Genomic DNA, 14,819 nt, shown 5'->3' on the forward strand with positions numbered 1-14,819 from the left:
CTTTTCATCAGATGTCTTCAGAAAAACTATACTTCCATGTAGAGTATCTTTGGTTTCCTGAGAGATACAAACAGTTGTAAAATAATAGTTAAGATGAAAGAAATTCCTTCCAGCTGGATAAACTAGCATTTCAGGAAGAGGGTGAGGCAGGAGATGAGCCCCAGCAGTTGGAAGGATTTGTATATATGAGATAGAAGGAGTGATTGCAGGCAGACCAACACAAAGACCCACAGTGACAAAGTAGGGTATGCTCTGGGGATGGTGAAAAGTAGAGTTATTCTCACCAGAACTAAGGTCAGCTAGTGGATTTTTGGAAAATGAGTTCCAAATACCAGCTCTGGCTTAAAAATGGAGGACCTGGAATATCATGTTAAAAACAAAACAAAACAAAACAAAAATCACCAGAAACCCAGGAGAGTAGAAAACAAGAACACTGTGGGTTTAGGAAAAAGATGAAGTGCTGTTGTCCTTTGTGGCATTTTTCATAAAAACAAAAATGAAAATAAACTGAATATAGAAAAATAAGAGATTCGTTGGTACTTTTGGTACACTCATAAAGTAATATGCTATAGATCCTTTGAAAATTTAAAGAAATATATTTATTGAAGTGGACATATGTTCATTTTTATGTTCACATTATATTTTTAGTGGAAAAATGAGGTTACAAAAAAGGAGGTACTATTATTATCTCATCTTCATTTGGGAAGAGGAAAAAAGGGAAGAGAAACAAAAGAAAGAGAAGGGAGGAAAGAAGAAGTGACGTATATACACGCACAGAAAAACATTGAAAAAATCTATTTCAAAATGGGAACAGCCATGTTTCTCTGGGTGATCTTTGCCTCTCTAGGTTTAATGTGGTTTCTACAATGGACATCTATTTAGATGTGAGAAAAAATAAGTCCAAAGAATACACAGAATGCTCTAGTACATTACAAGTAATCAAGCACGAGTACTAGGGGCACAACAGGTATTAAACACTGTCAAAAGCTCTGAAAGCAGTCTTCTTTGCATTGACAGTTAATATTTAGCAAGAAAACCCAACAATTCATGGTTTGCCTACTTCTAATTGTCCCTGAGAAACTGCATATGAGCACTCTTACCAGAATCACTAGAACTGAACTTCTGCTGATGAATTTCTTCCAAGTGGTTTTTGCTCTGGGAGTCAAGCAGCACTGCCAGTGGGAGGCCTTTAGTGAGAACTCAAAGGTAACCCATTAAGGCCTGCCTGGGGGGGGAGGGGGGAAGGACTGGTTTATCACAATTTAGAAAATCTCCCAAGCAGGCCGAGGCACCTTCACTGACTGTCGGGGTGCTGGTGCAGAAGCAGCTGGAGCTGCACTGGTTGATCTGGGAAATACCACCACACTTCGCTAGAACCCAAGCCTCCTGCCCCACGTTTAATGCCTCCATAAACCACATTTCTTCCTACTAGAAATTTGGCTCTGGTTTTAACTGTCCTTTCTGGAATACATATTCCCTACTTCCCCCAACATAAACACATACAGGTATTTATCGTTTCCTTATTTATTTACCCTCAGCTTGTAATTCACTTTAGCAAATTTACTTTGCCCATTTTCACTGATGACTATCACTAAATATGCTTAGCATAAAATAAACCCTCATTTCTTCCAGGTGGACAAGGGAATGAAGAAAGGAGTGGGGAAGTGGGAGGAATTAACATTTGTTGAATCACTGCATTGGGATGGCCACTTCATGTTCAATTTAATTTAGCCTTCATAGCGTCTCTTCATGGTAGGCATTATTATGGATGAGGGCACAGGGGCTCAGAGAGCTTAAGTAACCGACTTCACACTCCACAGAGAAGTAGTAGTAATTGTGTCAAGATTCAAACCCAAGCCGGTCTGCCTCCACAGCCCATGCCCAGGCCCTTTCCCTTATTCCACAGGGCCTCCAAAAATCTGTTTTCCTATTACTTCAGAGATTCCTGGTAGCACTTTAAAAAACAGGCTGGATAAAGCTCTCTGCACAGGCACAATGCAGATCGTATTAATAATTTAGTTTCCACTAAAGCTGAAATGGAGGTCTAGGAAAACAGGTCAAAGCTGAGAATGCCAAATGAACATGAGTACCCTCCTTTCCTGTGCCACAACAGAATCCTAACTAATCCACCAGAAAGCAGATAAGAACATAATGTCTATCAGATGCCAAATGGATGGCTATATAATTATTTGAATCTTATCCTACAGAAAATCCACTGAAACATGTTATGTAAAATCAAATTACAGCCTGCCGCTGAAGACAAGGCTCTTCCATGGAGAGCTCAGGAAAAGACCAGAAACTGGACTCATATGCTTTGGAGCAAGAGAAAATTCATGCTACCTTAGCCACTGGGCAGGACTGGAAAATCAAGACCAGCACTTGCATTGGCCAGGCCATGACCCAGTCAGCAGTGTAAACACATATTTTAAATGCATTCATGGTCACCCTCAAAGATGCAATTCAGCAAAGATGAGGCACACTCAATATCTTTTGAAACGAATCAGACTGGAATTGAGGAGATCAGGATCACTAATTCTATAATAATGAAGACAAACGAATGGGTGAACTTAATCTGCCTGGATTCCTAGTATTAATATATTAACTGTAGTTGGAATAAATGCAGATGGAATAAATGTGCATAACAAAGCCATTTATTTTTAGATGGCAAAGAATGGCTCCAGCTGAAGAGGCATAGTAAAACAGGGATCGTTAACAATGGCCATGCTTCAAAGGAAAGAAATTAATTACGGGCAGCACTTTTAAACATCAATATGGTTATCTTCCTGTTACTTAAGGACAGGCAAATGTATTTTGAGGGTTGACAGAGCTAAGTAAATATACCCATCATGTTATTGAATCGGGGTGCAGTGGCCAAGCCACTGAACAGAGGGACAGCAGGTCCTTGCAGAAGAGGGGAGGGAGCAGGGAACAGTGTGGGGATTCAGTGACCTCTGAAGCTGTGTTCCTTTCAGCATGTCCTGTCTCCTTCACCCCTAACCAGCCAGGTAGCAGATATGTGGCCAGGATTTTAAAAACTGGACATTTCAAGGGGTTACTAGAAGAAAACAAAATGCATTGTTCAAGGTTATGATTTTGACAAATGTTGCTTCCCTAGACTATTGTAAATACACAGTGCCAATATCAATTATGAGCTTTATGCACCTGATTCAAAATAGCTTTGTGCTTTTGCAATAATATTTAACATCCCCATGTAATATTTGAAGTTAAAAACATAAAGCTTCAGTCATGCACCATTATTTAAAAAGCACTTTTTAGCTAGTTTTACTACATAAAACAAATGAGCAATACTGGTGATGATGAGGGAGAGATAAAAATTACATGACATAAAAATCATTTATATATAGAAAATAAAGTAATAAAAATGAAAGTAAAAGCCTTCTCCAAATGCATGAATCTTATATGACTGGTGAATAATCTGCGAACAGAATAAAGGCCAGGGGCAGGGTGCCTTAGAGTCTGATAGCCATGGCTTCAAGTTCAGCCTCTGAATTTATCAGTAATAGTGATAAAAAGCAATTTCTAAGCCTTGATTTCCTCATCAGCAAAATGCGAATAATGTCACCTTACTCAGAGGGTTCATTTAACTGTTATGTGAGACAACAATGTTTGACACCTACCAATTATTTTTATCGTAAATTGAACCTAACTTTTGCTAGCAGGTTTCCTATCAATCCAAACTGAGGTTTGCTAGCAAAGTCTAAAAGCATCTGTTTTTGTCTAATCAATTTTTTGAGAAATTTAGTAGTTTTTGCCAAGCCCCCTCCTCAAATTCAACTTTTTATTCATTGCTTCTATTGTCAAGGAGGAAAACAATCCCCATCACTTCGTAAGGCCTGTGAGACTTTTCTATCCTGATAATAAGAAAAGAATGTGGTAAAGTCCAAGGTGACTCATTTCTAACATTTTGTCTGTATCATCAGCTGAAGTAGTTTTTTTGATGCTGGTGTTAATTTCTTACCATTCTACAAATTGCATTTAATTTCTCATCTAAACTCTAAAAATTAGTCTGTTTTAAAGCCCTGAGTGAGATATTTAAAGCCAGCTTTTTCCACAGTTTTCTCATAAAAATGATAAGCATAAAATAAAAGGTGCTGGCAAATGTGGGAATAGACTCATTTCAAAAAGCAAAAAATTGACACTATCAGACTTAAAATATACTACAAACCTATAGTAGCCAAAACAGCATGATACTGGCATAAAAACAGACACATAGACCAATGAAGCAGAATAGACAATGCAAACTTTAATCCACATATCTACAGCCAACTGATTTTTGACGAAGGTGCAAAGAACGCTCATTGGGGAAAGGAGAATTCCTTCAATAATTGGTGCTGGGAAAATTGTACATCCATATGCAAAAGAATGAAGAATGAAACTAGACTTTCCCTTCTTACCCTACATAAAAATCAGCTGAAAAGGAATCAGAGACCCAAATATAAGACCCCAAATGATAAAACTACTAGAAGAAAACACAGGAAATACTGTAGGACATTGGTTTGAGAAAATATTTTATGACTAAGTTCTCAAAAGCACAGGCAAAAGAAGCAAAAAGAAACAAACTTGATTATATCAAACTAAAAAGCCTCTGCACAGAAAAAAAAAATAAAAAACAATCAACAGAGTGAAAAAACAATCTACAGAATGGGAGAAAATATTTGCAAACTACTCAGCTGACAAGGGATTACTATCCAGCATATACAAGTAGCTCAAACATCTCAACAGCAAAAATCCCACACAATCCGATTTAAAAATGGGCAAATTATCTGAATAGACATTTCTCAAAAGAAAACATACGACAAATATATGAAAAATGCTAAACATCACTAATCACCATGAAAATGCAAATCAAAACCACAATGAGGTATCATCTCACCCCAGTTAGGATTGCTATTATCAAAAAGACAAAAAAATAAAAATAAAAATAACAAATGCTGGCAAGAATGCAGAGAAAAGGGAAATTTTATACACTGTTGGTGGGAATGTAAACTAGTACAGCCAATATAGAGAACAATATGGAGGTTCCTCAAGAAATTACAAATAGAACTACCATATGATTCAGCAATGCCACTACTGGGCATTTATGCAAAGGAAATAAAATCAGTATGTTGAAAAGACATCTGCACTCCTATGTTTTTTTGCAGCACGATTCACAATAGCCAAGATATGAAATCAACCTAGGTGTCCAAAAACAGATGAATGGATAAAGAAAATGTGTACATATACACAATGAAATACTATTCAACCATAAAAAGGAATGAAATCCTGTCATTTGTAGCAACATGGGCAGAAATGGGGGACTTCATGTTAAGTGAAATAAGCCAGGAACAGGAAGTTACACACTGCATGTTCTCATTCATACGCAGACACTAAAAAAAAAGTTGATCTCATAGAAGTAAAAAGAACAGAATACTAGAGGCTGGAAAGGTAGGGGAAAGGGAGGTATAGAGGAAAGATTTGTTAAAGGATACAAAATTACAGCTAGATAAGGGGAGTAAGTTCTAGTATTCTGTATCACAGTGGGATGACTACAGTTAATAATATATAGTTTCAAATAGGTAGATGGATGATATCGAACATGTCCAACACACAAAAAAATAAATGTTTGAGATGATAAATATGCTAATTATCTTGATCTGATCACTTTACATTATATTGAAACATCACTACTTACCTCATGAATATGTACATTTGTCAATTAAAAAAAATCGAAGAACCCCCCCCAAATCAGCTGACACAAAGTGATTTTGCCACTTATCTTCAAAAATACAAACATTGGGAATTAATCATATTTATATTTTTTATTTTAGCATTAATAGAATTATAGTACTGTTAAGGTAGAATACATTTCCAGTAAATGAAGTAAAAGTCATTTGAAGTTGAGTCAATTTATTTATTACATCCAGTAATATCACCCTCCTACTATCTACATCCCGTTCTGTAATGTTCTTTAGGGGGAAAGAGATAAATCACAAAAAGGATTCTATGTGAGATTTCCTAGGGGGAGGAACCCTTGCATGGCATTTCATGGTCCAGGAAAGACTCATCTCGTGGAGCTCAGTATTCTGTAAAAACGATGCTCTCAGTGTGACATAGAGGCAATTCCAGGTGTGAAGAGTGGTGGAAAAAGCACAGGGCTGGAAATCAGACCAACTGGGGTTTGAATTACAGCTTTACACTTACTAACTGTGAAACTTTGGGCAAGTTTTTGAAACTTTCAGAGTATAACTTCCCTAATCCAGAAAACTGGAAAATAATATCCATGCCATGAAGATTCAATACAATGATCTACGTCATGCATGTGGTAGAATGCCTGGCCCACTGTAGTCCCTCAATGAATTATAGCCCAACAAATAACAGGACAGGTAAATTCTGCTTCATATACTTTTGCTGTTGGATGTATCACTGGGTAGACCTTCCTGCAATAAAAAAATCACAGAGGGTCTATGATGAAAATGTCTAAGGAAAGATGTCCAGGTTTCAGACTCACTTCTTCTGTTTTGTTTAAGACAAGTGGGAGCGTTTGAATACACTGATAATTCTAAGTGGCAGTTATGGAAGTGGGCCAGTTTGGTCAGGTGAAGGTTAACTAGCTATATGTGATTGAAAATTTTAGAGGCTCTTGCAAGTAGCAATCAGATCGCAGGGAGAAGGGAATCCGCCGATAAAGGAAGACAGCCACTGGGCCACCTTAGGTTCAGAAACCAGGTACAACAGATAAGTCTACATTGGTCAGATTATTCATTCCTCTCCCAGTCCCCGACTGTCCCAAAACTGTAACAATGCCTCTATCATGGACACTGCCTAGATTGGGGGATAAATTGGTTGGTAATGAATCTTATCTTGTATAAGTAATATTTTGTTCCTTCTACATAATCACAATACATAAACTATATAATGAAGATTTCTTCATTCAACCCAAGCAGTCTTTTTTTTTCCTTTTTCAACATTTATGTTTGAATGTGCAAAATAAAGTTCATTTATTAAAGGAATCATTTGATACTTCCTCTGTCTGTACATAGGGTTCTTAAGCTTTAATACCTGCCTCAGCAATCATTTAGCTACTGAGATAAGCTAATTAGTACTATTGTTAATGAATAGAAAAATGTATTTAACATATGAGTCTTCAGGAGTATTTCTCAAAATGACAGATTTAATTCCCTGAGGGCTGTGGAAAGTTTGCAAAGAGCTAACTGTGGGACTTAAATGGTTGTTTGGGAATGACAGTCTCTTAGTAAAACTTCATTCACTGTATCAATTCAGCAAATAATTTCGAGTGCTTATAAGGTGCAAAAGTTGTTAAAAATATTCCCTCTTTTTCTCAGTTCTTCCACGTCATTCTTGACTACAATCCCTCAATGACATTTAAGAACCTGTACTTTAGGAGGGGAAGCTGGAAACTTGCTAAATACACTCTTTTTATGCAAGGAACCTGGCAAATGCATTTATTTGCAGTATCTCTACTCTTCACAACATGTATGTAAAGAAAAAATAGTATCCCTATTTGATCAATGTGCAAACTGAGGCCCAAAGAAATTTAGTTCATGGCCACACAGCTAATTAGTAGCAGCTTCTCTGTGAACTCACATTGAGCCTCAAGGCCCATTCTCTTCAATACCATGAATTGTAATGCTTAGGCCCAGATACTTCCCCACATCGCTCCTTATTGCTTGCCTGTTTTATTAATGTTTCTAATCTTCTATTAAACAAAATTTACCATGTTTTCATACTTTCTTTCACTGTATAGATGTCTTACAAAATTGTACTTTATTAGGGTAAAAGAATGCTATTCATCTGATTGGTTCCAAGACAAGGTATTTCTGATTTCAGGGGTACCTTCATGGTACCTTACAAATGCCTCAGTGTCTCTGACTTTCAGTACCTACAAAATCTTGAACTTCCTTCCTTCCAACCCTCTTAGGGCCTAGTTCTATTTCCCCATTTTTTACCATGCAGTCCACACATCCTTCTTCTCCTGTGGTGATGGTATTAGTAGACTTTTTTTCTTCTGCCAAAAGGTAAGCTATATCCAGCAGATATGAATGGTAGTCTCTGTTCTTCCCATTCTAATGAGATACATCTAAGTTCAGACAAAACTGAGGATATGATCCTAATTAATCAGAAAGTCACCCATGACTGAGAAATCATTTACCAGAACCAATTAAATCTAAATTGAAATCTATATATTTTATAAGCACCTCCCACATTTGACAATAATGGACGATCCCATTTCATGACTCCACTTTGGTCCATGAAAGCAGAATCCTGGGTGAATGGAATAAGTACCAGAAAAAACTCTGACGTATATGTGAATGATTCAAGCTTGATGTCCTCTGGTTTGCTTTTAACTCTTCTACTTTCAATTCACATAATATAAACTAGAACAACAATTTGGGCAAAACTATAGCAAATTGCTTGTTATTTCTTGAAAATAAAATTTGAATTATGTGACTGACAATATAATGTTGTATTTAGATATTCTCCTTCGATATTTAACCTATACCTAAATCTATATATATATATATATATATATATATATGCCAATGCTTTTATTGTTTTTTCAGTAAATGGATTCTATTTTAAAATTTTAAATGCAGAAGTACACTAAGTATAAAGGAATATACAAATCTAGATTTTGCAGTTAAATTTAAATGATTTATTAAAATTTGAATTAGTAAATAATTTAACTTTCAACATCTCAAAAGTGATAATTTTTTTCTTGATGTAAGAATTCACCCTGGATGTCCATTAATAAGAATCACCCTTAAGAAAACCTCTCTTGTAGAGGTTTTGATGGCCCAAGCAAGAAACTTACAACCACACAGGCCTTGGTTCCAAGACCAGGTATTTCTGTGACCTGAGGCAAGTTGCATAAACAAACCTCAACTTTGGTTAATGACTCAGTACATTGGCTAACACTAAATACTCACACTATAGTCCGTTTATTCTTCTGTTCATTTGTCTGTACATTCTGAACAACAACAACAACTGCAACAACACTATGGCTTTTACTTTGTGCCAAGCACTGTTTTAATATTAACTCACTGAAACCCCATTACAACCCTATCCTAAGCACATCCTACTATTACATCCATTTTGCAGGTGGAGAGCCTGAGGCACAGAGAGACTAAATAACTTCCCCAAGGTCAACAGCTAATTGATAGTGCCAGAATCTGAACTCAGACAACCTTACTCTATAGTTCACACTCTTAATCATTACATGATACTGCCTCTCATACACTCATTCACCACCCAGCAAGCCCCAGTTTGGTTGTAGTAGATAATTACACCATCTCCAGCCTCAAGGAGCTCATAGTCTCTTGGTAAGACAGACATGTAAACACATAATTATGGTACAGAATATCAAGTATGCTAATTGACCATGCTCCCTGGAGACCTGGAGTCCATATACTCAATGCAGCAGGGAACAGAGCAAGTTTCCTTGATCTCATAAAGATCTACACAATCTTCTACCATAAAAGTCCAGCTGCTGCAGTACAAAACCTTACTCTTGCCTGGCATCTTAGGGTGTCAGAGATACCCAGGTAATTAGGAATGGGGAAAGCCTGTAAAACATCAGGAAGCACTGAGCTTCAATAGCAAGAAATAACAGTATAGTTCATGTCTTTAAAAAATCTGTTCTCAAACCCTTATATTGTGGCTGACCTTAAAAGAGACTGCTAGCATCTCATTACAATAAACCCAGTGGTTAAATACAGAACCCAAAGTCCTTTGACCCAAGTTCAAGCCTAGGTCCACCAATCACTAGCTATATGACCTCAGACAAGGTATTTTTAAGCCTTAGTTTTACCTACAAAAATGGAGATGAAAATAATGCCTGCCTCATAGGAAAGTCATAGGGAAGAAAAAAGAATAACCCATGGGAATCCTCTGCACATTGCTGACATACAACAGGCATCTAACACACTGTTATGTTGTCATTACACAATGTGTCTGAGGATTTGAAATCCTTGTGTTGGTAATTTTCATTTCTAACTTCCAAAAAATTTTAAAAAAGAATCTTAAGAAAAAACATTAAAATTTACTGCAGAGGGTAAGAAAAACAGACACTACAATACTGAATTAGAGACATAAAGCCTGTCGTTTAAAGTTTCACATGTCTAGAAAATAGCTTATTACTTAGAAGATTTTCTGAAACAAGCCCACTTTGATGTGTAGCTGTGAAAATATTAATGCCATATACTACATACCTTGTATGGCACAGTAGTTAAGAGCACAAGCTAGAGAGTTAGACTGTCCAAATTGGAATCTTAGCTCTACCACTGTCTGACTAGGGTGAAAATTTGGGCAACTAGCTTCAAGGCTCAGCCTCAGTCTCCTTGTCTGTAAGATGGGGATAATAAAAAAATACTTTCTCTTCTCAAAGGGTTATTAGGAAGACTAAATTAGTCTCCACCTATAAAGCAATGTAATACCCTACCTAGTGTAGAATAAGTGGTCAATAAATGGCCTGGGAGAAAAGACATGAATCCAGGACATTTAATTCTTCCTCTTCCCCTTCAAGCCAGGAACTTGGCAGTTATCCTAGAATCCGATCTCTCTCTCACATCCTGCCTACAATCCATTGCCAAGTTCTACTGAGTCTTCCCCTAAATATCTTTGGTATGCAACACCCCCTCTCCACTGGCATAGTCTCCACCTTGGTTCACACTCAGCATTTCGTGCCTGGATCCCCATCAGAGCTTCCTGACTGCTCTCCCTGCTGCTGCTGCTACAACACGGATGCTTGAGTGATGGCTCTACCCCATAAAGCTATTCACAGTCCTCTCTTCTACCACCACCATTAAGGTCTCTCCCCGCTTTGAGCAGGGTGATTTCCAAACTATGCAAGATGGCATATGAAGATCTTCATGCTCTGGCACCTGCTTACTTTTCGTGCCACACACTCAGGTCCCCTTTGCTCCAGGAATTCAAAAATACTGTTTCCCACACAGCCTAATAGTCTCTCCTACTTCTGTTACTTTGGGCATGAGACTCCTGTTCTTCTGCTTGACTATCTTGCTGACTCCTCCTCCAAAGCTCAGCTTCATTGAGATTCTCCTCTGAGTGCATCTGAGCCAGGTGAGGGTCTTTCTGTGGGCTCCTGGGGCTCCCTCTTCATTCTCTATGGAGGGTGATTAGTGGCTCTTATCTTTCTCCTTCCCTGCCTCTTCTGGGTGTTACTGTAGTGTTGCCACTATGCTTTGATTGGCTTTGTCTCCAACATTTGATGCAATGCCTGATCCACAGAAGTCACTTAATAAATGTTTACTGAATGAATACATGAATACAAGAATGAAGCAATGAATATTTGTTCCTGCTCTGTCACTGATTAACTGTATGTTTGACATCAATAATCAGAAAAGATGTTAATCATGGAATTAATTGTCATTTTATCCCAGTATCTAGCACTGTGTCAGGCGCATGTATAGAGAGAGATCTACCTACCTACTTACCTATCTGTTGAGAGCAAACTCCAAAATGTTTCCTTTTTTAATATAAATTTCATTAGGTCACCTCAAATTTTTTGACAGGACTTGGTAAATATATACAAGCATGTATTCATATACTAACAAAACCCACTTATGGAACAAATTAGGGTCAATTCTAGTAATATCCCTCACTGTTGAAACGTATTTTATAGTGTATGTGGGGAGAGGGCATGACACGCAGGTAACATGGTACCAGAAGCCAACAACGACAGTCAATGTGCTAGGACTGCAGCCTGACCACAAAGAGAGCACGTGTGACTTCAGCCCATCATGGCTTTATGGTAGGATGAGCCACCTACCAACCACTGCTCATGGACCAGGGCCCTGCTGGGAGCAGGGGATATAAACAGCTCTTCTCAGCTACTTGCTCAGTCAGGGCAGGGATCTAGTAATAACCCACCCAAAGGCACTCTATCTACTTTTGGCATGCCTCCCACTGGTTGCCAACCTAAGCGGCCCGTGAGCAGAGAAGTGTGAAGGGAAAAAGATATGGCAGGGAAGGGCAGTGGGAAAGTATGGCTAAGGGGCATTTGTAAGTGCATTGATAAGCACCTTTTAAAGAAGATACTCATTCAAACTTTTTTTTTTCAAGCCAGACAAATTAGTAATAAAAAAGTAAAGTTTCATCCACCTAGACGCATTTCCTTTCAACAAATAGGAAGATTTCCTTTTTCTTAACACTACTTAAGTTATGTCAAGAATAAAACACATCTTTATTAAAACTCAACTAATTATAAATTCCTAGAAGTTCTGTACTGCTTTTTTTTTTTTGGACTGGTAATCATGTACTCATGATTAACATATTCAAAATAGACCATATGTATAATTCATTGAGTTTTTAAAAACTTGATGAAATGTGAATCCAATGTTAAGTCTACATATGTATTATGATTTCATGATAACACATAGTGATATCCCATACTATACGATTCTGTGTCATCACACCTAATCAAGAAAGCTTCGTCTTTGGCCTTGCTCAAACCTGAACTGCAGGAGTGTCATGGACCAAATTCCTTATTTTATAAACTAGATACTCTTTAGGATTTTCCCAAGCTTTTGAGCGTATCCACTATTACTTTTATGTGATTAAAAGCTCCTGGCCCGGTGTGGTGGCTCACGCCTGTAATCCTAGCACTTTGGGAGGCCTAGGCGGGTGGATCACCTGAGATCAGGTGTTTAAGACCAGCCTGGCCAACACGGCGAAACCCCATCTCTACTAAAAGTACAAAAATTAGCCGGGCAGGGTGGCGGGTGCCTGTAATCTCAGCTACTAAGGAGGCTGAGGCAGGAGAATCATTTGAAGCCAGGAGGTGGAGGTTGCAGTGAGCCGAGATCATGCCACTGCACTCCAGCCTGGGCAACAAGAGTGAGACTCCATCTCAAAAAAAAAAAAATCCTATACAATATTTCTGCATATGAACAAGAGCAACTATCCCCATAATAACCCACAAAATATTTAGAAGCAGCATTTTTTATTGACATGAGGTCTACAACATGGAACGAAGTAGCCCATAGGCCTTCATCAGGATCTTAGAAAAAGGTGGGGATAAAGAAACTCAAAGTCATAACAATTCACTTTATAGAGGAATGAGGGTCATATATGGCTATGCCACTGAAGGAAATCTAGAGTGTTTTCAAAATAATTCAGTCTTAACTTTGTACATTACAAGTAGTATATGAAATAATTGGACTATGAATATTATATCTTCTGTAATACACTGTATCTTACAGAATATACCTATTTTACTATGTTAAGAATTAACAAGTACAACAGCAATGAAAGTGTTATCCATGAGCCAGTTTTAGGATCTACTCTGTGAGTGTCCTGAGAACAAAACATTTAAATCCACTTGCACATTTACAATAGCGATATTGATATTTCTCCTTGTTCCCTTCTGGTTGCTAAGAGATTTACATTGGACAGACTCTGTTGTACTGGTAACAAAGCACTTTGGTCCACAAAGCATTTGCTACAGCTCATTGAGTCCAGAAACTCCCTCTGCCTCACCCCTTCCCTATTTTGCTTCCAAGTCAAACAGGGACCCAGGCACAAAGGTAACAGATCTGTCATCACTGCTACCGAAAACTGCTGTACATAAACCTAGCTAGCCTAACAACCCTAAAATATAGTGTCAATATTAATATGACACCATATCTTCATACAAATATATGTACCTTTTCCATCTTTCTTAGAAGCTAGTTTATCACGGTGGGGGTAGGCAGAGATGTATGGACAGGGGGCAAGTGGTAGTGACCTACCCACAGAGAAACCTCACACAATAAAATTAGACCAGAATCTAGCAAAGTATGGCAATTTCATAACAACTGTGCTGTGCAAGGCTTTGAAATACGCCTGCACACAATTTCTTAACCCAAGTTTGTATTTTTATGAAAATATATTCAAGAAGTTTATTTACAAGAATATCAAAGTAGGAACTATCTATATTTAACATCTTGCAGTGAAACAACTGCAGCTCTCCAGCTTCAATCTCAAAGTCAGCTATGCAACAAAAGGCAGAGAGTCTTCTATAGATCCTAACTCTGAAGAAAATGGCAAAGGTACCAGGAATATTCATGGTCACTCCTGAAGAGGGGTACATGTGGGAGATGCAATCTGCATGTCATTTAGAAAGCACATGCCTTACTGCTCAAATTAAGGATATCTTTCCTTTGGGAATTTTCACAAAGACACATAAAAATGCTTTATGACCTGCCTTTCCTATTCAGATCACAGAGTTTTAGTCAATTTTTATTAATTATCATGGAGGAAAAGTGCTTTGGGGTCTTACTCCCAGCTCAGTACCTAGGAGTCATATTTAAGGGCACTCTAAGTACTCACGGGCTATAATAAATCACCACTGACCCAGAATATTCCTCCTATTTTCCCCCTGCCTTGGAATATCAGTAAGGAATCATCAATGCCCATGCTTTGATCTAAAGCAATCAGTGTTGAAGGTTGCAGGTTACTGGAATTCCTGCGTTCAGGATAATCACTTTCACCCAGCAGGGAAAAACAAACCTCTGTGATTTCAGCTTTATTTAACAAAAGAAAGTTATTTCTAGCAGCTTATTTCCATTGCACAACTTGACAAAAAGCACCTTATAAAAATAAGAGGCAAAAGGAAAGAAAGAGGAAATAAAAGCAAAGCAGGAAATGACTTTTGTGCTACTCCTCTAAGGTCACAGATCTGCCTGGGAAACGCACGCATGTGACACAGTTCCAGCACAAAAGCTCTTTTTCCACGAGACAAACCTCTAAGAAGTACAAAGCCTGGTTCTCTGGCCTCTCCCTCTAACCCAAGTCACCGC

At 38.0% G+C, this 14,819-nt stretch overlaps 1 protein-coding gene across 4 annotated transcripts in view; it reads right to left on the reverse strand.

Annotated features, from left to right (window-relative positions):
* The window catches only part of ANK3 (ankyrin 3), a 707,231-nt gene that overhangs the window by 347,972 nt on the left and 344,440 nt on the right, over nt 1-14,819 (reverse strand). The window lies entirely within an intron of this gene.

Source organism: Homo sapiens, chromosome 10, assembly GCF_000001405.40.
Source record: "Homo sapiens chromosome 10, GRCh38.p14 Primary Assembly".
Taxonomy (NCBI): Eukaryota; Metazoa; Chordata; class Mammalia; order Primates; family Hominidae; genus Homo; species Homo sapiens.